We start from the raw sequence: 25103 nt of genomic DNA, 5'->3' as shown, positions 1-25103 counted from the left end.
TTCCTAACTGATACACCCCACCTTTTGATAAAAACTGCACTGGGTTCTGGGGCTGGGCCCTCAGTGGCATTCACCACCTCTGACCAGGCTGGACTTCTGCAGGCTTCCTTGCTTCTTGAGGTCTTGACTCTGATGTCGGCATTTCAGGGAGTCGCCCCTGCCATTTCCTTCAAGCTGTGCCCCATCCCAAGTCCCTCTTGTGGATTACTGGTTTTTTTTTTTTTCCTCCAGAGCATTTGACATTATACCACATGTTTACCCATGTCTGCTAAGTGTGATGTGTTTGGCTTATATCTGCATCTTCCCATTATCATGCAGGCTCCGTGGAAGCATGGACTGTACCTGTTTTGTTCACTGGTGTATCCCCAGCTCCCAATACAATGCCTGGAACATTGAGGGCATTCACATGTTTACTGAATAAAAGGTAAATGAATAAATGTGAGTGTTTTTCAGGATTGTTGAGAGATTGTATCACTCCTCTGCTAAACTGTCCCAGCAGCTTCCCAGGGGAGCTGAGACGTGACAGATGTTCCAACCCCATTGTGAGTGGACCCGCTCTGTTCTCTGGCTTCCACCAGCTGCTCCCCATCTGCCCCACCCCTATGACACCCCCAGTATTAATCTGTTCTCATGCTGCTGTGAAGAAATACCTGAGACTCGGTAATTTCTAAAAAAAAAAAAAAAAAAAAAAAAGGTTTAATTGACTCACAGTTTGGCATGGTTGGGGAGGCCTCAGGAAAATTACAGTCATGGCAGAAAGCAAAGGAGACGCAGGCACCCTTTCACAGGGCGGCAGGATGGAGTGAGTGCAAGCAGGGGAAATGTCAGACACGTATAAAACCATCGGATCTCATGATAACTCACTCACTATCACGAGAACAGCAAGGAGGAAACCACCCCCATGATCCAATCACTTCCCACAGGGTAGGTCCCTCCCACGACATGTGGGGATTATGGAAATTACCATTCAAGATGAGATTTGGGTGGGGACACAGCCAAACCCTGTCACTCCCCATTCAAACACACCACACTCATCTCTCCCAGGACCTGCCCTCTGCCTGAAACAACCCTCCCCAGCCACTGTGGCTACAACTGCCTCCAGCATCTCGGCCCTAGAGAGGCCTGTGCCGGCACCCTGACCTGCCCTCACTGGGCCCAGCCCTGGTCTTGCCCCACCACCTCTACCATCTTTGTGTCTACCACCTGTCTAACTGTTTGCACGAGGAACCAGACCCTGCAGGCTGCCTCCCCTTCCACTTTTGTAACAAAACCAAGACTGTCTTAGCCACAGACCCTGCTCCACGTGGCTGTGGGTGCCAAGGGGCTAATCCTAGTCCTGCCCTGGGTGCTGAAAAAGGAACCACAACAGGTCCCTTCCCCTTTTCTCCCCAGTCCAAGGCAGGTCTGGGTCTGGGCGTTCAGTGATATTCCGGCCAATTAGTGTGAGGGGAAACCACCGCAGGTGGGTGGGGAAGGATTTTCTCTGCTGACAAAAAGAAAAACTCTTTCTCGAAAATACATTATCACTGTGATGCCCTAACAGCTATAACATGAACAAGCCGCAAAGCACACCAGGAAGAAGAAGACGGCAGAACAGACCAAAACAACAACAACTGCCCCCACCAACGACTTATAACAATTATGTCTTTGAACCGCTGAAATCATCCAGAACTTCCCTGTCTCCAGAGAGTCGAGTGAGAAGTACATTTTGAGACTAGGTAAGTTTGAGGGCTTTCTGTTGGCAGCAAGGGACAGCAGTTCTGGGTCCGACACCCCCCTGGAAGAGTGTAAACCGCAGGAGAGGTGGGGCCTCTCCTCTCTTATTCAATGCTATTTCCTCAGTCCCTGAAAGAGGGTTTGAATGTTGTTGATAATCAGTATTTGTGCTGAATGAATGAATAATAATAAAGGTAAAATTACATGCAGAATCAAAGGAGCTGTCTCCATTTGTTTACTTTCATGTTCTTTCTGAAACTCCAAAAAGACGGAGCTGCCCGCTTCTGTAGGCAGAAATAGGAAACAGGAGAGCCAGAGACTTTTCTTTCTGCCATGACAGCGGAATGAAGCCCAGGCAGAATGAAACCAGCATCGATGGACGGGAAGAGAGGGGTTACTGTGTTTCTAGCCTATCACAATAGTGGACGTTGGCAGGTTCTTCAGGCACAGCGTAGTAAATGCTGATCTCATAATTTCAGAGCCAGTTTGAGGAGCTCTGGGTTTGACAGCTTAAAGATTTTCATTGGCGTGTGTAAAACAGCATCTGCCAGCGGTCTCTACCTCTGCTACAGGGGCCTCACTGGGGGCTGGGGCTGCCCCAACTTATATGCACTGTAAACCAGCCAGAGCTCTAAGATACGCAGAAACATTGCTTCCAAGAACGGTTTCTTAGAAAACAGTACTCCCTCTATACCTAGGCACAGAAACTAAAAAAATAATAATTCTCATACCAAAACCTTGAAAAGCTTTATGTTCTCTTCAAGCCCTGCGGAGCACACGGGTTTGAACCAATCCCCCATATCAGCCCCGCAGAAGCCAAGCCTCAGCCGCTGGCCTCAGCACCCCTGTGCAGTGTCGGCTGAGTGGGGTGTCGAGAGCAGGCGGTCAGCCAGGGCGGCCGGACGGTGGAGCGCTGGCCAGGAAGGGGCAGCACTCACGCTCCAGCGTCATCACACTCCCCAAAGCAGGACTCCCAGCGGGCCAGACGGTGATGGGTGGACCCGATCTTGGTGAAACAGGCATTAGTCGGCTTGAGCCCCTGGAAACTACACAGTTTCCCCCACAAATGTCTACTGGTGACACTTGGTGACAAATTTGGAAAACAGTTTAGGAAGCGTCCAAATGCTCATGCCTAAGCATTAAAGGTGACATCAGCGGCTACATTTGATAACATTTAAGAGATCATATTTTCATATACTTTAAAACTATTTTTATATAAATCTAGGACACATCGAAGTCAAATTCATGTTACAAAGAGCTGCAAAACCATTTCTACTCACGGTTATACAATTTCCATGAACACACAGCTCTTGTTCTTCAGGAGCTACTGTGAAAACCCTCACGTTGCTCCAACTCACACAAAACTCCAGTGAACAAGTTGTTTTTGTATTTCAGGCCCTCGAATAACTTTCATTGCCCTTGTCTTTAGCACAGCCTCACTTTTTCTAAAAGCGATAAATTTGGGGCACACATATGTGAATACCATAAAAAGCCATCTTGGACAATCGGTTCTTTCACTTTATGAAATGCTGAGCTCCCTTTCCCAAAACCAGGAGCAGAAGGAAGCTGCCACTGGTATTTGATGCCGTCCACGTTTCCACCCTGGCACTGGGTCCCAGAGCCACCTTTCAGATTCCGTCCGGCGTGAGTGGGGCAGAAGAGCCAGCGCTGCCTGTGAAGGCGAAGCTACTGCTGCTTCCCAGCTGCCACTCGGGTGCTTTTGGAGGCCATCAAAGAAATGGTTTCCTCCAGTTTCCAACAGTTGAAACTACTGTTTTTTTTTTTGTTTTTTTTTTTGTTTTTTTTTTTTTTGAGGCAGAGTTTCGCTCTTGTCACCCAGGCTGGAGTGCAATGGTGTGATCTTGGCTCACTGCAACCTCCGCCTCCCGGATTCAAGCAATTCTCCTGCCTCAGCCTCCTGAGTAGCTGGGATTACAGGCATCCACCACCACGCCCAGCTAATTTTTTGTATTTTTACTAGTGACAGGGTTTCACTATATTGTCCAGGCTGGTCTCAAACTCTTGACCTCAGGTGATCCACCCGCCTCGGCCTCCCACGGTTCTGGGATTACAGGCGTGAACCACCGCGCCTGACCAAGCCACTGGCTTTTATAGGCAGCTCATGCACAAGAGCAGAGCATCACCCAGCGTTGGGTGATCGCCACTTGGAGAACCAGACCATCCAGGTGAAGAGGTGCAACACCCACAGCTGATGGACAGACTGTGTGTGAGTGTGTGTGTGGGGAGAGTATGTGTGTGTGAGTGTGGATGTGTGAGTGTGGGTGTGTATGAGAGGGGAGTGTGTGAGTGTGGGAGTGTGGGGATGTGTCGGGGGAGTTAGTGTGGGTGATTGTGTGTATAAGACTGTGTGTGACTGTGGGTGTGGGGGGCGTGTGTGTGTGTGTGTGGGGTGAATGTGTGACTGTGGGTATGTTTGTGTGTGGGGGGGTGTTTGGGGGATTGTATGAGTGTGGGTATGAGTGTGTGAGAGTATTAGTGGTTGTGTGTGACTGTGGGTGTGTGTGTGAGAGTGTGAGAGTGTGTAGGGGAGTGTGTGAGTGTGGGTATGAGTGTGTGTGGGTGTGGGTGTGTGTGGTATGAGTGTGTGTGGGTGTGTGGGGGTATGTGTGGGTGTGTGTGGTATGAGTGTGGGTGTGTATGGGGGTATGAGTGTGTGTGAGTGGGTGTGTGGGGGTATGAGTGTGTGTGTGAGTGTCAGTGGGTGTGTGGGGTATGATTGTGTGTGGGTGTGAGTGGGTGTGTGGGGGTACGAATGTGTGTGTGAGTGTGGGTGTGGGGGGTATGAATGTGTGTGTGTCAGTGTGTGTGTGAGTGTGGGTGTGTGTGGTATGATTGTGTGCGTGTGAGTGGTTGTGTGTGGGTATGAGTGTGTGTGAAACAGTGTGGGGGTGTGTGTGTGGTATGTGTGTGTGTGGGTGTGTGAGAGCGTGGGTGTGTGTGGGTATGTGTGTGGGTGTGTGTGAGAGAGACCATGGGTGTGTGTGGGTATGAGTGTGTGTGTGGTATGAGTGTGTGTGGGTGTGTGTGAGAGCGTGGGTGTGTGTGGGTATGTGTGTGGTATCAGTGTGTGTGAGTGTGAGTGTGTGTGTGACTGTGTGTCGGTGTGTGTTGGGGGAAGTGGGGGTTCTGCTTTCCTGGCTTCCACACCCCAAAGCCTCCCATGGTCCCGGGGGGGGTGGGTGCACCCTATTTACCTTGTGGATGTGCCGGGAATGGGGCGCCCCGTGTCCACCAGGACGCACCAGCAGTACCCCGTGGAGGGGTGGCACTGCACTGGCTTGTAGAGGCCGCCGTGCGCACACTCAGGGATCACCACATTGTCGTTCTTGGGCTGCTTGGCTTCCTCCAGGGCAGACTGGTGCTCTTGGTCACAGGATGACACTGCGGGGAAGAAGAAGGCAAAAGGTGAGCAGGATCCAGCGACGTCGTCCCACATGCAGAGCTCTTGGGAGGCCACAGAGAACTGCCAAGAACGATGTGGTCCTCCTTCACCCCGGAGCAGGAGGGCCTGCCAGCGTGGGGGGCACAGCAGGAGAGGCAGAACCTCACATGGCTCCAGTTCCCGCAGCCTCGCATGCTGCTGTGATCACGGATCTCTCAACAGCATACCCACAGTGATGGACATTCCTGCTCAACACGCAGCACAGCTCACAAGTCAGCATGGGCAGTCGCCTGGGAGAGGGGATCCAGGAGCAGATCTGATGCCCACAGGACTCCTGAATGTGACGAGGCAGAACCAGCCCTGTGGCTGGAAGTCTTCTCCACTCCCTGCTCCGAGCCACGTGTCATTGAGGCTGGAGATTCCTCAGAGCGGGCCCCAGGGCAAGGTCGTGTTTAGACTCCGAGGCTCCCTGTGTGACCCCTCTCTCCTCATTCTCAACATGCGGTTCATCGTCCATCCCCCACCCCCAAACGAGGGGGAGACTTGTAAGAAAATCCACTTTCTCACCTGGGGTCTCCCCAAGGTCTGACTTAGGTGAAATCTAAGCAGAACAGGTGCACGCTATCTAAAAGTTGTTCAGCCCCAAATCGTGAAAATTTCCACTGCACTCTTTCCAAAACAAGCTTTGTTACTGAAAACTGGTAAAGAATAATAATGAGAGGTATTCATACTCAGCCTGTGCACCAGGCATTGTGCTACATGAATACTGACACTCACTCACATGCAAATAAAACAATGACTTAAAAATTCTAGGACCTCATATTGCCATGTGCAAAGGTTGGTCTCTTTTTGTTAATAAACTCAGTTTCTCCTTTGTTTAGACATGTATGTCTGACATCCATCTTCTGCCCCAAATAGTTAAGCCAGGAATACCTGAGAATAAGTGCGTGCTGGCAACCGCCTCCTGACTGGCCCTCACCTGGGGGGAGAGCGGTAGCATCTAGGAATGAAAGACCATGTGACCTGTTGTTGGCTGCAGCAGGAACACGCAGGTGGAGCAGCAGGGGCAGCCTCTCTGCTCAGCCTGAAGGAAGCTTGGGCTGGGACGTCACGAATCTCTCCAGTTGGAAGTGATTTTCCACAAATGGTGCTTTAAGCCTGCTTTGAAGCTGATTAACTACAGTGTATAGTTTATAGAGCTTTTATGACCCTAAAGGTGATATCAGACAGGTGGAACACAGTAGGAAGCTGATAAGAGCTGCTCAGCACTGCCATAGCTGGTGTGGTGCGTCCACATCACAGCCCAGCAGAAAGGATTGTTCTGGGGATTAAAAGCGATTATAGGTGCAGTGTGGCATATTGACACAGTTCCACAAATGTTAGCTATTGCATAATTTTTCCAATGCTAAAAGGATGCCTGGCTTGTAATAGGCACTCAATAAATTTCTTTTGAGATAATAAATAATTGTGATGGTATTAATGGAAACCACCCTGATTTTAGCATATCTAGCAACTCTGTTTAACATCTGAGGATAATCAGATTCGTAATTTTATGATTAGTCCATTACTGACTATATTACCAAATGTTGCTATTAGATTTTGTAAAAGCATACGTTTTGTGTCTTCACTGCAAGAATGTAAAAACAAATGTTACCTTTTAGACTCTCCCCTATATTTCTATTCCAAAGTGACTAACAATCATTCTCCCCTGGCAACCTCATACGCTGTACTCAGCCACTTGAAAGAGTGGATGATAAACATTAAAGTGAAGTCATCGTGTCTTCACGATGACAATGCTCTTATCAACATTTTTTAGAATAAGCTCAGAACTCATGGATCATTCAAATCTCACAGTAGGTGCTCAAAATCGGTTTAATGAACAAGAGAAGAAGCAGAAAGAAATTTGTCAATGACTGAAATTTCATATGATTGTGTCTTATAAGTTCTGTGTGGGCTCCAGGTTTTGCTCAGCAAATGCACAGGTGCATAAAACAAAACCTACCTCTGGGTTATAGTAAAGAGGCTTTTGCCTCAACGATAACGAGGAAACTGGTAACAAATAAAAAGGACGATGATTTGCATTTCTTTCTGAATTGCTCAGTAAGTTACTTTAGGTCATGGAAGAAACAGAAAACAGCAGGGGTTGTGCGAAATGTTTCTGGAGGTTGTTGCTTTGCAGAAATCCTCAGAGCACTTGGTGCATCACTCAATGGAACTGCGCCTCCGGAGAGCAGCAGCTGAGGATGGCGGAAACTGCCTCTCCAGCAGCACCCGGGAAACTCAGCACTGCCGTGTTCACATGGCACCTGTTCATTCCTCTCCAGCAGCACCCTGGAAGACTTAGCACTGCCGTGTTCACGTGGCGCTTGCTCATGCCCCTCCAGCAGCACCCTGGAAACTCATCACTGCCGTGTTCACATGGCACCTGTTCATTCCTCTCCAGCAGCACCCAGGAAACTCATCACTGCCGTGTTCACATGGCACCTGTTCATTCCTCTCCAGCAGCACCCAGGAAACTCATCACTGCCGTGTTCACATGGCACCTGTTCATTCCTCTCCAGCAGCACCCAGGAAACTCATCACTGCCGTGTTCACGTGGCGCTTGTTCATGCCTCTCCAGCAGCACCCAGGAAACTCATCACTGCCGTGTTCACATGGCACCTGTTCATTCCTCTCCAGCAGCACCCAGGAAACTCATCACTGCCGTGTTCACGTGGCGCTTGTTCATGCCTCTCCAGCAGCACCCAGGAAACTCATCACTGCCGTGTTCACGTGGCGCTTGTTCATGCCTCTCCAGCAGCACCCAGGAAGACTCAGCACCGCCGCAGCGCTTCTTCAGAAATTTTATTAGTGCACAGAATTTATGGTTTGATGATCCAGACACGACATACTTTCTGTGCTTTATCCAGGAACATACTGCATCTATAGAAATTGTTCTCAAAAATTCTTGAAACGTCTCTCTTGAGGATTTTATGTGATATTTGAAAGCTTATCATAAGCAAAATAAGATGGATTAAATCAACCTCTTAAAATTTGATGAGCATGATATAAAATATTAAAGATATTAGAGCAGAGTCAGAAGAAACTTCGTGTATGTTTATATAAACATCGTGGTTGATGAGGGCTGTTAACCCATGCAATTTTACCTGATAAACCTGGCTGCATGTGGGAAATTCAGACTCATTGGAGAAATGCAATTCCATTTTCTTTTAGTAAGGGCCACAGTGGAGGCAGAAGATCTTTAAACAAACTGATGACGGCCCCTGGGAAGAGAAGGCCACAGAACACAATTTCCACCTGTGACTGTCACTCCCTCCTGGGGCACCCCAGAACGCAGCGTTCTGCAGGCAGAGCTGACGGGGGTGGTTCTCTCTGGCAGGAGACAAGTCCTTATTCTATAAAGGACTTAATCACGCTGGTAGAGGGAACAAGGAGGGGTGAATTCGCACATGACAGGTCCTGTGTCACCACAGCACGGGAGATTTCCGTCTTGGGGAGGCGCATGGGGCCGTGACTCCAGGAAGGAACCCAAGGAGGAGGAGCTCGGCGATCCTCTAGAAAGATGCCCGTGAGGCCTCAGGAAGGAGGAGGAGCTCGGAGATCCTCTAGAAAGATGCCCCTCGTGAGGCCTCAGGAAGGAGGAGGAGCTCGGCGATCCTCTAGAAAGATGCCCCTTGTGAGGCCTTAGGAAGGAGGAGCTCGGCCATCCTCTAGAAAGATGCCCGTGAGGCCTCAGGAAGGAGGAGGAGCTCGGCCATCCTCTAGAAAGATGCTCGTGAGGCCTCAGGAAGGAGGAGGAGCTCGGCGATCCTCTAGAAAGATGCCCGTGAGGCCTCAGGAAGGAGGAGGAGCTCGGAGATCCTCTAGAAAGATGCCCCTCGTGAGGCCTCAGGAAGGAGGAGGAGCTCGGCAATCCTCTAGAAAGATGCCCGTGAGGCCTCAGGAAGGAGGAGGAGCTCGGAGATCCTCTAGAAAGATGCCCCTCGTGAGGCCTCAGGAAGGAGGAGGAGCTCGGCGATCCTCTAGAAAGATGCCCGTGAGGCCTCAGGAAGGAGGAGGAGCTCGGAGATCCTCTAGAAAGATGCCCGTGAGGCCTCAGGAAGGAGGAGGAGCTCGGAGATCCTCTAGAAAGATGCCCGTGAGGCCTCAGGAAGGAGGAGGAGCTCGGCCATCCTCTAGAAAGATGCTCGTGAGGCCTCAGGAAGGAGGAGGAGCTCGGAGATCCTCTAGAAAGATGCCCGCGAGGCCTCAGGAAGGAGGAGGAGCTCAGAGATCCTCTAGAAAGATGCCCGCGAGGCCTCAGGAAGGAGGAGGAGCTCGGAGATCCTCTAGAAAGATGCCCGTGAGGCCTCAGGAAGGAGGAGGAGCTCGGAGATCCTCTAGAAAGATGCCCGTGAGGCCTCAGGAAGGAGGAGGAGCTCCGCGATCCTCTAGAAAGATGCCCCTCGTGAGGCCTCAGGAAGGAGGAGGAGCTCGGCGATCCTCTAGAAAGATGCCCCTCGTGAGGCCTCAGGAAGGAGGAGGAGCTCGGAGATCCTCTAGAAAGATGCCCGTGAGGCCTCAGGAAGGAGGAGGAGCTCGGAGATCCTCTAGAAAGATGCCCGTGAGGCCTCAGGAAGGAGGAGGAGCTCGGAGATCCTCTAGAAAGATGCCCGTGAGGCCTCAGGAAGGAGGAGGAGCTCCGCGATCCTCTAGAAAGATGCCCCTCGTGAGGCCTCAGGAAGGAGGAGGAGCTCGGCGATCCTCTAGAAAGATGCCCGTGAGGCCTCAGGAAGGAGGAGGAGCTCGGCCATCCTCTAGAAAGATGCCCGTGAGGCCTCAGGAAGGAGGAGGAGCTCGGAGATCCTCTAGAAAGATGCCCGTGAGGCCTCAGGAAGGAGGAGGAGCTCGGCCATCCTCTAGAAAGATGCCCGTGAGGCCTCAGGAAGGAGGAGGAGCTCGGAGATCCTCTAGAAAGACGCCCGTGAGGCCTCAGGAAGGAGGAGGAGCTCGGCCATCCTCTAGAAAGATGCCCATGAGGCCTCAGGAAGGAGGAGGAGCTCGGAGATCCTCTAGAAAGATGCCCGTGAGGCCTCAGGAAGGAGGAGGAGCTCGGAGATCCTCTAGAAAGATGCCCGTGAGGCCTCAGGAAGGAGGAGGAGCTCGGAGATCCTCTAGAAAGATGCCCGTGAGGCCTCAGGAAGGAGGAGGAGCTCGGCCATCCTCTAGAAAGATGCCCGTGAGGCCTCAGGAAGGAGGAGGAGCTCGGAGATCCTCTAGAAAGATGCCCGTGAGGCCTCAGGAAGGAGGAGGAGCTCGGAGATCCTCTAGAAAGATGCCCGTGAGGCCTCAGGAAGGAGGAGGAGCTCGGCCATCCTCTAGAAAGATGCCCGTGAGGCCTCAGGAAGGAGGAGGAGCTCGGAGATCCTCTAGAAAGATGCCCGTGAGGCCTCAGGAAGGAGGAGGAGCTCGGAGATCCTCTAGAAAGATGCCCGTGAGGCCTCAGGAAGGAGGAGGAGCTCGGCCATCCTCTAGAAAGATGCCCGTGAGGCCTCAGGAAGGAGGAGGAGCTCGGAGATCCTCTAGAAAGACGCCCGTGAGTCCTCAGGAAGGAGGAGGAGCTCGGCGATCCTCTAGAAAGATGCCCGTGAGGCCTCAGGAAGGAGGAGGAGCTCGGCCATCCTCTAGAAAGATGCCCGTGAGGCCTCAGGAAGGAGGAGGAGCTCGGAGATCCTCTAGAAAGATGCCCGTGAGGCCTCAGGAAGGAGGAGGAGCTCGGAGATCCTCTAGAAAGATGCCCGTGAGGCCTCAGGAAGAAGGAGGAGCTCGGAGATCCTCTAGAAAGATGCCCGTGAGGCCTCAGGAAGGAGGAGGAGCTCGGCCATCCTCTAGAAAGATGCCCGTGAGGCCTCAGGAAGGAGGAGGAGCTCGGCCATCCTCTAGAAAGATGCCCGTGAGGCCTCAGGAAGGAGGAGGAGCTCGGAGATCCTCTAGAAAGATGCCCGTGAGGCCTCAGGAAGGAGGAGGAGCTCGGAGATCCTCTAGAAAGATGCCCGTGAGGCCTCAGGAAGAAGGAGGAGCTCGGAGATCCTCTAGAAAGATGCCCGTGAGGCCTCAGGAAGGAGGAGGAGCTCGGCCATCCTCTAGAAAGATGCCCGTGAGGCCTCAGGAAGGAGGAGGAGCTCAGCGATCCTCTAGAAAGATGCCCGTGAAGCCTCAGGAAGGAGGAGGAGCTCCGCGATCCTCTAGAAAGATGCCCCTCGTGAGGCCTCAGGAAGGAGGAGGAGCTCGGAGATCCTCTAGAAAGATGCCCGTGAGGCCTCAGGAAGGAGGAGGAGCTCCGCGATCCTCTAGAAAGAGGCCCCTCGTGAGGCCTCAGGAAGGAGGAGGAGCTCGGCGATCCTCTAGAAAGATGCTCGTGAGGCCTCAGGAAGGAGGAGGAGCTCGGAGATCCTCTAGAAAGATGCCCGTGAGGCCTCAGGAAGGAGGAGGAGCTCGGAGATCCTCTAGAAAGACGCCCGTGAGGCCTCAGGGAGGAGGAGGAGCTCCACGATCCTCTAGAAAGATGCCCGTGAGGCCTTAGGAAGCATGAAGGGCGCAGGAAAAAGAGAACTGAGTGAAACTGAAGATTGAGAGAAGCAGGATGGCAAGGGTAGAGAACTAGGGAAATAGGGAAGGAGAGGCTGCTCCAAGGATCATGGTGGAGTCACCGGCAGGACCACACAGGGACCGGTAGACACAGGACACCAAGGTGGAAATGTCAAGACAGAGACACTTGGTTCTGTTAAGTGGGGACAAGGAACCAAAGTTCAAGTTTTAAACTAATCATATTACTATAAGTTATGTTTGATTCCAGATGGAGTAGGCTACGCTTCCAAAAATGACCATTGATAGAGAAAAATAAAGCTAGAAATTCTGGAAATAATTCAGAAAAAAAGTAATAATGAATGATTACAAAATCCCTATTGCAATATTCCATTTTAATATATTAGATGAAAATATGTCACTTTTCTTTCCTATTCAGAAGGCCCTTAACTACATCATTTTCTCATATAATAAATTTTGAGGAGTTAATGTATAAAGAAAAAATAATCTGAAAAAGACGCAAATAGAAGCAATTCCGATATGAAGGCATTCAAGAGGCTGACTTTTAATACACACATGCATACATATATAATATGTATTATATTACTTATAGTATTATATTAATTATATATTATATTAACAATATAGAATATGTATAATTTATTATTCTCCCACATTACAACATTTTTAACCAAAGAATAGCCTTCCATTTAGTGTATTAAGTTCATTCTCACTCAAACCTTTGGCTTTGCCTCAATCTGAAGGTTTCTGCTCTTGCCAGAGTCAGTGACACCCTGCTGGTACTCAGAACCCATAAGGAAATGTACTAATTCTGTAGTATAAATGTTGTAATAATTCTGTAGTATAACTATGATTGCATGGTGCTGTCTTTCATAGGTAGTTCTATTTGGTGGTTTGTGCTTTTCTAGTTCCACGAGCATTGCCTGTGTGCTCCCTTCTCTGACAGCTTTCTGCTGTCTGTGGCTCAGATCCCTGGCCTGCAGGCCTGTGCCCCTTCCTGAACACACTCCCGAAAAGTAATTAGCACATTGGAGACAGCCTTCCTCCATATTGTCTCATTAAATATTAGGCTAGCAATGTGATTCCCATTCCAATTTACTTCTATAAGTGTTGTTTTATAGAAACATGATTTCAATTCCAATTTACTTCTATAAATTCTAACTTTTATAGAAATATGATTTCAATTTCACTTCTATAAACTTTAAGTTTTATAGAAACATGATTCCCATTCCAATTTACTTCTATAAATTTTAAGTTTTATAACCATGTAACAACTTTTTTTTAATTTGTAGAAAGCTACCTTTGTAAAGTTGGTAGAAGGTCTATTAAAAAAATATGAGTTCGTTTCCCAAACTAGCATTAGATGCTTGTGACTTATAATGTGTCTGACAGTTTGTTCAAATAATCTGACAACCAAGAGGAGTTTTTAGATGATAATAAGCAGCTGCCAGACATTTATGAACATTAAAAAAACTCTTAAATAATTATTTCATTAAATGAAGTCTACTTGATTCAGTATGACGACGCCTAAAGCATTTTTATAGAAAGCAAGAACGAATCACATGCATTCTAAAAATGAAGTCTCCATATTTGGCCATATTTCAAGACATCGCACGCTGCAGGTTTTAAGTTTTTTGGCAAGCTCACACGCTTAGGGGCTTTGCATCAACATTTGGAGAGTTCTTGCTCAGCTTCCAGCAGGCACATGGTCCCGCGAAGCTCCTGAAAACCAGAAGTACTTGAAAGTGTCAATCTGACACCACCAGGCCGGCTGCCCCCTAAACTCATGCCACACCTGACCACCACCAGGCCGGCTGCCCCCTAAACTCATGCCACACCTGACCACCACCAGACCGGCTGCCCCGTAAACTAATGCCACACCTGACCAACACCAGGCCGGCTGCCCCCTAAACTCATGCCACACCTGACCACCACCAGGCCGGCTGCCCCCTAAACTCATGCCACACCTGACCACCACCAGACCGGCTGCCCCGTAAACTAATGCCACACCTGACCAACACCAGGCCGGCTGCCCCCTAAACTAATGCCACACCTGACCACCACCAGGCTGGGGCTGCCCCCTAAACTCATGCCACACCTGACCAACACCAGGCCGGCTGCCCCCTAAACTAATGCCACACCTGACCACCACCAGACCGGCTGCCCCCTAAACTAATGCCACACCTGACCACCACCAGACCGGCTGCTCCCTAAACTAATGCCACACCTGACCACCACCAGGCCGGCTGCCCCCTAAACTAATGCCACACCTGACCACCACCAGACCGGCTGCCCCCTAAACTCATGCCACACCTGACCAACACCAGGCCGGCTGCCCCCTAAACTAATGCCACACCTGACCACCACCAGACCGGCTGCCCCCTAAACTAATGCCACACCTGACCACCACCAGACCGGCTGCTCCCTAAACTAATGCCACACCTGACCACCACCAGGCCGGCTGCCCCCTAAACTAATGCCACACCTGACCACCACCAGGCCGGCTGCCCCCTAAACTAATGCCACACCTGACCACCACCAGGCCGGCTGCCCCCTAAACTAATGCCACACCTGACCACCACCAGACCGGCTGCCCCCTAAACTAATGCCACACCTGACCACCACCAGGCTGGCTTCTCCCTAAACTAATGCCACAGAGACAGAACCCACAGGTTCCCTCTGCCCAGTTCCAGCTTCCAGCTTTTCCATGTTTCCCTGAGCTATATGTGCACTGGCCTGGAGGCCTCCCCTGGCCCTGAGTGTGCCACACAGCTCTGCTGCTGATCTGTTTTGTGGCTGTTGAGCCCATTGCTGGCAGCTGCGTGGTTGAATGGATGTCATTGCTGTTGTTGTCAAGGAACTCTGAATCCCTTTTCTCCACATCCAGTCTGCTCTGGGAACACTATGCTGCCCCAGACATACCTTGTTTTTAAAGAAATGCATAACATTGTTATTTAGTGTCAGCCAACACCTTAAGAGTTCTTCAGGAATTATTACAAGTATTGACAGTATGCCCACACATTACCCTAAGGGGTCTTAACTATTAAAGAAATGAACATCATAATGACATAATTCACGTCTAGTTTAGGCTGGTGGGTGCTATTTTCTGTTTACTCCCATCTTCTTATTTACTCCTTTTTTTTTTTTTTTTTTTTGAGACGAATTCTCCCTCTGTCATGCAGGCTGGAGTGCAGTGGCACGATCTCAACTCACTGCAACCTCCACCTCCCCGGTTCAAGTGATTCTCTTGCTTCAGCCTTCAGAGCTGAGACTACAGGGACACACCACCACGCCCAATTAATTTTTTGTATTTTTTTAGTAGAGATGTTGGCCAGGCTGGTCTCGAACTCCTGGCCTCAAGTGATCCGCCCCTGACCTCCCAAAGTTCTGAGATTACAGGCGTGAGCCAACACACCTAACCAGTATTTACTTCTATGTTAAGCAAATTTAATGTTCAAAGTCAAAGAGTTTGTATTTAAGTCTGTAGTAGTCATTCCAAAAATATGGCAGGTTGCACAGTGCAAAATGGAGAAAATAAAACAAGAAGAGAATAAATACGGTTAAGTCTCAGTTCAGCCCCAACCTGGCCACTCCGCTTCAATCCTGTAATGTAAATGCTGGGAATCACTTGTCACACAGAATCTGCACTGGTCAAATGTTTGTGCCCCCTCAAAATTCCTGTGTTGAAATCTTTTCTCCAAAGCTGATGGCATTTGGGGGTGGGGCCTTGGAGCCCTCAGGAATGAGATGAGCCTTTAGAAAAGAGGCTCCGGCTGGGAATGAGATGAGCCTTTAGAAAAGGGGCTCCAGCTGGGTGCAGTGGCTCACGCCTGTAGTCTCAGCACTTTGGGAGGCCAAGGTGGGTGGATCACCTGAAGTCAGGAGTTCAAGACAAGCCTGACAAATATGGTGAAACCCTGTCTCTACTAAAAATACAAAAATTAGCTGGGTGTGGTGGTGTGCACCTGTAGTCCCAGCTACTCAGGGGGCCGAGACAGGAGAATTGCTTGAACCCGTGAGGCAGAGGTTACAGTGAGCCGAGATCATGCCACTGTACTCCAGCCTGGGTGACAGAGCGAGACTCCATCTCAAAAAAACAAAACAAAAAAAAGGGTGAGGGAGCTCCAGGGATCTGGTTTGTTCCTTTCACCATGTGAGGAAACAAAAGGACACCGTTTACGAACCAGAACATGAATCACCCCCACCCCTCACCCCTCACCCCGACACCAAATCTGCCAGTGCCTGGATCTTGGACTTCCAGCCTCCAGAGCTATGAGAAATGAATTTCTGTTGTTTATAAGCCACCCAGTGGAAGGGATTTTGTTACGGCAGCCCAAACAGACTAAGACGGTGTGAAAGGAAAGGAAATCTCAGGACCCCAAAGTCACGAAGCCAAAGGGAAGTCAAGCCAGGAACTGTGTTCGGCAAACCTGCCCCTCAGTTTATTCCTGAATAAGAGGGCTACAAAGGTAAAAAAGCTACAGACCTCCCTCGCTGTTTGCCTGCAGGAAATTCCCATGGACCAAGGACAGACAGAACTCAGTCATCCCTCAGCAGCTCACCTGAGACAGGTGCAGATCTGATGGCTTCCTCCACCCTATTGCTTCACTGAGCCAGACTAGGGCGGAAGCGACTGTTCCTCTATCCTCCTCTCAGATGTACGTTGTATATTCAGTGAAAGGCTCATCAGAGACTCAAAAGAATGCAACCATTTGTCTCATATCTGCTTAAGAAGTTGTCCCGCCTTTCTGGACTGAACCAATGTACTTCTTACACATACTGATTGATGTCTCACACATGAAACCAAGCTGTGCCCCGACCACCTTGGGCACGCGTCGTTAGGACCTCCCGAGGCCATGTCATGGGTACATCCATACCCTTGGCAAAATAAACTTTCCAAATTGACTGAGACTTGTCACAGATACTTTGGGTTCACAACAGTGTCAAACCTGTCTAATTGTCTCACAAGGTGGGCGGGAGGAGTTAGTGGAAGAATATATGAGTGTATTTAGAAAGAAAGATAAAGCATTTTGCAAAATTGAAGGGACTATTTAAAATACTACAAATCATAACCAACAATTCTTTTAGACATTGCAATAGCATTATACCCTAAATGCAAATGTTTTCAGCTATAGCAAAACTATCAGTCTTTAGACAAGTAAATTTAGTTGCTCATTTTTATTAAGATTAAGTACTTCAATAATTAAATAGCAAAACTCTTGGTAGACTAGGTGTAGAGAAAAGCCTTCTCTGTCTGATAAAGAGCATATTTGAAAAGTCTATAGCTAACATCATATTTAATGACAAAAGACTGAACACTTTCACTTTTAGATTAGTAATAATCTCACTACTTTTTTATATTTGCAAAGCAAAAGCTGCTAAAATTAATAAGTGAAAATGACAAAGTCCTAAGTACAAGCTCAATCTACAAAAACTACTTCTATTTTTATATATTACTAATGAATAATTGGAATATTAAAAAAATTAAATGTCATTTGCTATAATATCAAAAACATAAAAGTGCTTAGAAAGAATTTTATCAAAGATGTACAATACATTGAAAACTAAAAGCATTGCTGAAAAAATTAGAACACCTAAATAAATAAAGAGATGTACCATGTTAATGGATGAGCAGACTCAGAAATGCTTTAATTCCCCCCAGTTTGATTGGTGGATCCCATATAATTCCTACCGAAATCCTAGGAAGCTCTATAGTAGAAACTGACATTATGGTTCTAAAACAAATAGGAAAATGTGAAGGACCTAACTTATTCAAAGTTTTCTTCCGAAAGAGCCACACTGGGGGACTAATATTACCTTACTTGAAAAATCATTATAAAGCCAGTAATCTAGACTAGATGTTAGTGGAAAAAGGACAGCTAAGTAGATGACTGGAAAAGAATAAAAAGCTTATAAGTAAATTTAAAAATATATGTATATGTTCAATTGATATTTGATGAGGCACCAAAACAATTCAATAAGAAAGGGAAGCCTTCTCAACAAATAATTCTACAACAATGAGATATCTACATGACAGTTAAAGATGGAAAAGCCTAACTCACCACACACACAAATTTATTTGAGATAAATTAGAGATCTAAACATAAAAGCTAAAAATATAAAGACTCTAAAAGAAAATATGGAGACTATTATTGAGATATTGGGTTAGACAAAGATCTCTAGGGCAGATGCAGAAAGCACTAAGCACAAAAGACAAAAAAAAGTGGACTTCATTAAAATTTAGAACTTACCTCACCAAAAGAGACCATTAAGAAAACGAAAAGGCAAGCCACAGACTGGGAGAAGAGATCCCTAATATACACAGCTGACAAAGACTCCAGGTGCTATAAACAACGTCTGCAAATCAACACCAAAGGTGAACAGCCTTATCCAAATTTAACAAAGGTGAAAACAGACATGACAAAATGAAAGATGTGTGACTGAAAAATAAGTATTTGAAAGAAACTGTCCAACATCATCCGTCATCATGACAATGCAGGTAAAACATCACCATGAGGCAGCACCACATGCCTGCTAGAACAACCCAAACCAGAAACCCCACCCCACAGGCCAGCTGAGCTGAGGAGCAGTGGGAGGCCTCGGACATTCCTCCTGTGAGTGTGAAATGCTGGGGCTACTCTGGAAACCTACTCTCAGGTATTTATCCCCAGCATCATGAAAACATGCACTCACGAATGACTAGTACAATGACTAGTACCTGGTATCTTTATTTGTAGTAGCCCCAACCTAAAGAGAAAAACAAAATATCCATTAATTTGAAAATGCAGAAATAAGCTGTGGTATCTGCATACAGTCTACAATCATGCATGTAAATTGCAGAGAATGAATGGGTAATGCACGCAGTGAGGATGAAGCTCAAAACCATTACTGGATCGAAAAAAAGACAGGAACAAAGGGGTACTTATGCTTGATTCCATTTACATGAAACTCCAGAACAGACCAAAGTAATGTAGGCTGGGCACAGCAGCTCACACCTGTAATCCCAGCCCTTTGGGAGGTCAAGGCAGGAGGATCGCATAAGCCCAGGGGTTTGATGTCAGCCTGGGCAACATAGCAAAACCCCGTGACTGCAAAAAAACACAAAAATTCACTGTGTGTGGTGGCGCCCTCGTGTAGTTCCAGCTACTCTGGAGGCTGAGATGGGAAGATCACTTGAGCCTGGGTAACCAAGGCTGCAGTGAGCTGTGATCACACCACTGCACTCCAACCTGGGCAACAGAGGGATGCCTTGTTTTTAAAAAAATGTAATGTATGGTGATTGGAATCAAAAGAGCAGTTGCTTCCAAGAGTGAGGGGGCATCAACTGGGAGATGGCTCTGGGGGGCTGTCCCGGGATGGATGTGCTGTCTACTTCCACAGGTGCTTGGGTTTCCTGAGCACCAGCACTGGGCAAAGCTCCTCCCACCGTGCACGGCCGTCTGTGCATCTCACTCTACATCGATGCTCTCCATAAACAACATCTATGTCTACATAAGCCTGAAAAAGTGCTCCTAGTAAGCATAAAATAGGAATTCTAAGAGATGAGAAAATATTGCTCACATTTTAATTGGCAACATATTTTTTGCCTGTTCGGTAGGTCTTAAAAATGAATAGTATATCAGACTCAATGATAGGCAAAAGTACATAGTCCACTTCTCAGAAAATTGCATTTAATGAATGCTTTTTTTTTTTAAGAGGACCTGGTGTTCCATTAGTGTACACTCGATTAAACAGAGACCTCTTACCACTAATGTGATTTAAACCACAGGCCTTGAGCATTCCCAACTCTTGCCAAGTTTGGCTTTATCTATGCAAGTTTCGTTTTGTTTATAAGAACACTTGTGGGCCTTGAAGTGCTGACTTTATTGGCAAGAGGAGGTTTTCATTAGAAAGTGTGAATAAACCCACCAGAATGTCTCAATTCAGTTTAGGTCCCACGTCGGAAGAACTCAGATTCCCACTGGTGTGAGTCTAGTCCGCAGGAGGAGCTATCTCACAGGTGGTCTTCACGTCCAGCCGACTGTAATACCTGCAACCCTGCATGGCCATCTGTGGTTCTCTCTCTCATCTCAGCTTCCTGGGTGAACTTCTTAATCGCCTGCTTCCATTTCCTTTGCCCACCCCAAGTCTTGTTACTATTGGCCGGCCTGGCTCCCCAGTTTTTGCTGGCCTGCTGCTGTGCTGCTCTGACGTGTAGGGACTAGAGTTTGTTTACCTCCGATGGCCTCTGCCAAGTCCCAATTACTGTTGCAACCACAGCCTGGAACTTTTGGAGATGCTTGGTTTCCTCGCCTGTGCACAGCCTCATCCCTGACGGAGCGGCTGCAAGGCCCTCGCCCTCCTCTGCCCTCCTCTGCCCTCCTCCCTTCTTCAGTTTGTCCCACTCAGGACAATGACACCCTTATTCCAGGAAGAACAGACTGCAGTACTGGCCACTCTCTCCGTATTGCCAAGGTCTCTGCAGTGCTCCCATAGAGGCTGGGTGCTCTTCCCTACCTGGGACTTTGGGCCCAAGCCTGTGAACTCAGCATGGCCAGCAGGAGGTTGGGGAGCAAGAGGCGGGGGAGGCTCCAAATTTGCTTGTGTGTGAGGCCCGGCTTTCGTGTGCCTCTGCTGCTGCTATGAGAAGAACATCCCCAGTTTGCTGATTAGTGCAAGGAAGATGAGAGACAGGGGGTCAGACCCACACCCCTGTAGTCTGGAACCCCCAGCAGAGCCTGTAGGCCAGCAGATGCCTGAGAAGCAAACACCCAATACACAGACATTGTGCGTTCATCTGCTGTGAAGGAATAGTTTCCGATATGACAGCCATTCCTTCCTAAGCTTCAGACCAGGAGGGGTGAGGCAGGGCAGGGCTGAGCCCAGTGGAGCTGGGAAGGGGTGAGGAAAGGCAGGGCTGAGCCCATTGGAGCCGGGAAGGAGTGAGGCAGGGCAGGGCCGAGCCCACTGGAGCCAGGAAGGAGTGAGGCAGGGCAGGGCTGAGCCAGGCACGGGCTCCTCAGTCCACACTGGCAGCGACTCCACCTCAGCTGCTCTGCCTGGATGCAGGTTATTTAGTTTTTTTCCTTCCACCTGTATTTTTTGAATTTTCTATGGCTAGCATGAATTACTTTTGAACTGAGAAAAAGCAAGCAATGGTAACTTTTCTTAAGTAAGTAGCATGGCTCCTCCTGTTCAAAACAGTTCAGAATCACTGACTTCAGCTGCGACTGGGCAGCCTCTGTGAAGGTGACGGAGGCCGGAGCCTGGACGAGTCTGGCGTGAGTCTTGAAGGAGGGGGAGATTGAGGGAGGCGGGGGTGAGAGGGCGCCACAGTGTCCATGTGGAAAGAGTGGGTTCAAGAAAGATAAAAACCGGGAGGGGCAAGGCCACTGTCAGGAAAGACCCTCGGCCCCCGGGTCTTCCCCGTGCGTGTCGGTTCGTTTGAGCTGAGTCTTCTGAATGTTACTAAGCTCTGAGTTCCCGGCAGGTCGGACATGCTCCAAACAGGTGGAAACACCGCGTGACGCACTCCTCCCAGGTGGGGGGAGCCTGCGTCTCTCCATGGCGGCGTTCCAGTCACCTGTCCCTCCAGGTGGACCGTCCAAAGAAAGCTTCCAGTGCCTCCAACAGCTGAGCTGGTCCAGGCCACATTCAAAATCGGCAACAACTGGCCTCCAGCTGTCTGGTTTCCTGCTTACTCTCTCCGGCTCTGCCCCACCCCAGCCTGCATTTCGGGCACTGCCACTCCCTCGGCCTCCTTTGCTACCTTTAATCCTCTCCTGCCCAGCGGTGACCCCAAGACCCCTGCAGCCCTCAGTTGCTGTCCTGGGACCCTCTGGACTGAGGAAGGCTCAGTGCTCACACACGCACTCACACTCACCCACTCACAACAAAGTGGGGAGAGCTAGTAACGGTCTCACACATCTCCAGCTATAATTGCTGTTAGCAGGATTGCCTGAGACTCCAGAGCTGTAACATAAAGAAGTCACCCCAAAACCAATCCATGACATCCCTTCAACAATAACCATGGATTCAGCCTGAGACTGCAGAGCTGTGACATAAAGAAGTCATCTCCAAAACCCATCCATGGGATCCCTACAACAAAATAACCACCGTTTAGCTCCCGCTCTGTGCCTGGAACCTGGTGCTGTGTTGAGAGAAAGTCTCCAAACTGGAGCTTGAGATGTAATGAAGAAATCAGGAAACGGGCAAATGACCCAGATAATCTCGGAAGAACTCCATGAAGCAAGCAGACAAGCTAATGCTGATTGTTTGGGGGATGGTGGGGCAGGCCACCTTGGAAAGGGGGGTCAGAGAAGGCCTCTGCACGGAGGAGACTTCAGAGCTGAGGCTGAAGGAGACGCTGAAGTCAGCGGTGAAGGCGGCTGAGTGCAGGCCCCATGTGTGGGAAAGACACCTGCACCCAGCCCCGGTCAATGAGGAAGGGAGGGGAGGGGGGCTGCAGGGAGGCAGCGGGGTCCCAGGCAGGTCTGCGGCTTTTCAGTGGAATCATTCACATCACCCATCCCACCTAAACATCAGCTTGAGCTTGTGTGTCTACAGGTGCATCCGACATTAATAATTGTTCTCCCTTTCTTATCAAAAGTGAATTTCAGACTCCTGGTAACTATTAATAGGTAATGATTGATATTCATCTGTTAATAACTGTGCAATGATTGCATTGCCTAAAACTCAGTGACGGCAAGAAATGCGCCCGGCAAGAATGTGACTAGGGCAGCGATTCTCAAACGTCAGTGTCAGACCCGTCCGGGGCTTCTGAAGCTGCAGGTGGCAGGTGCTTGGCTGCAGGTCCCTGGCCAGCAGGTCTGGGCGAAGCTCCTTCGTCCTCTTGTCTAACAAGTTTCCAGATAATGCCCATGCCAGGCACACATTTCCACCTGTCACAGATGTCCCCGTAGGGGTTTTCATTTTTTTTTTAGAATTGATTTTACTTAATTTTTACGCATGTTGTCTTCAGCAGTCATGGAAATTTCGTGGTTCTCTTTTTAATTATACAACATTTAAATAAGATGATCAAAGAAAATAAAATATAAAATTTTAAAAGTGCCCCTTTAGTATTTGATTTTCTAGACAGGGCAGACCAGGTGTGGGGGCAGGGGGAGGAGACCTTGAAACTTATACTTCTGTTGGAATAAAATTCTTCATATGTTTACTTTTGGTATAAAAACCAGGGGGGAATCAGAGGCGAAGGCTGTGCCTATGACGGGCATTCATTTCTGACTGGTTGCATACTTTAATTCCCAAGAATACTTGCAAACTCACTTTTAATTATTAAATACAAGATGCTTGCCATCACATTTACACGCACTGTAGGTGCTCTGCATGCTGTCCTTTAATCCTCATAACAACACAGCATTAAAACTGTGTTTTAAAATTATGCATTCAAATGGTGTTTTAGGCCAGGCATGGTGGCTTACCCACACTTTGGGAGGCTGAGGTAGGAGGATCACTTAAGCCCAGGAATTTGAGACCAGCCTGGGCAACATACTAAGACCTCATCACTATGAAAAACGAAAAAAATCAGCCAGATGTGGTGATCTGTGTCTGCAGTCCCAGCTACTCAGGAGGCTGAGGTGGGAGGATCACTTGAGCCTGGGAGGTCGAGGCTGCAGTGAGTCGTGATTGTGCCACTGCCCTCCAGCCTGGATGACAGAGTGAGACCCTGTCTCAAAAGAAAACAAAGAAACAAACCAAAACCTGTGTTTTATCAGTGAGAAAGCTGAGGCTCAGAAAAAGTTGCTGTCTTCCTCAAGATCACAGAGCCAGGAAAGGCTGCATGGGAATTCATATTCACACCAGTGACAGGTGCCTCCGTCCCTAAAACGGCACCCCTGCCTCTCCCAGCCTCGGCGTCTGAGGACCAGGCCCTCTCCAGGAATACCCGTGAAAAGGAAAATTAGATACTATAGGAAGCTCATACTCAAATGTATGTTCTAAAAAACAGGGTTTGGATAAAATGCGTGGATCCAGTTCCTTTGGAGAGAAAGTAATGACCACAGGTGTCTGTTCTGATTTATTTCTTTTCACATGTATTTCCCATAGCAACAAACTCAGACATAAAGTAACCATAGACCTGTAAGTTAATTTCCATTCTGAAACATGAATCCTAGGCCCTGGTGGAGGAGGGAAAACTACGTCTTAAGCCGTGACAAAGACAGACCATCTCGGAACGCATCTCAGAGCCCCTGATGGGAATGCCTCCCAAGTCCCATTTGCCTCCCACACTAACCTCCTACCTCTCTCTGTATCCTCCCCGGTGTCCTCAGCATTTGTAGGGGAATTACCTGTGTTGAAAGGCCAACTTTCCACATTTCTCTACCAGTGACAACCACACCAACATAAGCTTTGAAAACCGGAGTCGAAGTTAGCCCTGATTCCATTCTCTCCTTAGACTCATTTAGCCTAAGTTTCTATGGTATTTCCTTAATTCCCTCCCTCCCCTCATCCCTGGGTCCCCAGCCCTGACTCACAGGGCTGCAAAGGCCACCCCCACCCACCACAATCAAGGCCACAGGGAGTATCTCCGCGTGATGCCCCCAAGGACTGGAACTTGGTTGCTACTCATGAAGTTCCTGGATGCTTTGTTACCAGTAATGATAACACCCTCACCAGCTCCCCTCAGGACGGGTGCAAACACAGCTATGCCAGAAAAGTGCTACAGAAATGCGACTTTATTCTCTGTCAGATTCTGTAGAATTTGGACACTGAATCTATTTAAAGGAAGTTAATAAAAGTCACCTGATGTTATATTTGGAAGCCTTACAAAAACAATCAGAATAGTTTCCATTTTCCAAAAGTGCTGCCTTAGGGCCAGTGGTTTCACCTAATACAGCTGATGAGAAATAAAAGCGACGCTGACAATCCCACTTTAAAATAGACTGTGACAGGCGGCATAAGCCAATAGCCAGAGGGGGCCACTTTTTAACACTTCACTTTTCATGTGGATAAAAGAAAAAATAGTGGCTTTAAAAAATTAAGATGAGAAAAAGGAAACATCAAAATAGCATTTTGATAAAAATGGCAGATGCTTGGGAACCCAATGCCACTGCCCACCCCGAGGGGAACAGGACACAGTGTGACCTGGGGATAAGGGCCACCCGGTTTGAATTCTTACTAGCCATGTGTTCTCAGGTTGACCTTTTAAAGCCTGTTTCCCCATCTGCAGGATGACAATAACAGCTTCTATGTGCTGCATTACTGTGAGAATTGAAACCTGTCGGTGGTGGGCACTCAGGGCCTTTAGCCCTCTTCTCCAGGGTGCAGATAAATGACTTGAGGGCCCAGAATGCCGGTCAGGAGAGATGCGTGCATCAGAGGCAGGAATGCTGCATTTCATTTTACCACGCAGCGATCCCTACTTGAAAATCCTTAACCTTTAACACAAGGAAGAAAAGAT

The 25103-nt window shown here is 48.5% G+C and overlaps 1 protein-coding gene across 4 annotated transcripts in view; it reads right to left on the bottom strand.

The window, feature by feature from the left end:
- The window catches only part of SMOC2 (SPARC related modular calcium binding 2), a 226809-nt gene that overhangs the window by 64057 nt on the left and 137649 nt on the right, over positions 1-25103 (bottom strand). For all 4 annotated transcript variants that reach the window (NM_022138.3, XM_011536066.2, NM_001166412.2 and 1 more), the window contains exon 8: positions 4932-5118. In NM_022138.3, the coding sequence (NP_071421.1) occupies positions 4932-5118 (187 nt within the window). The remainder of the gene's footprint in view (positions 1-4931; positions 5119-25103) is intronic.

Source organism: Homo sapiens, chromosome 6 (assembly GCF_000001405.40).
Source record: "Homo sapiens chromosome 6, GRCh38.p14 Primary Assembly".
Lineage (NCBI taxonomy): Eukaryota > Metazoa > Chordata > Mammalia > Primates > Hominidae > Homo > Homo sapiens.
Note: the sequence above shows the minus strand (reverse complement) of the source record. Positions and strands in the feature narration are given on the sequence as shown.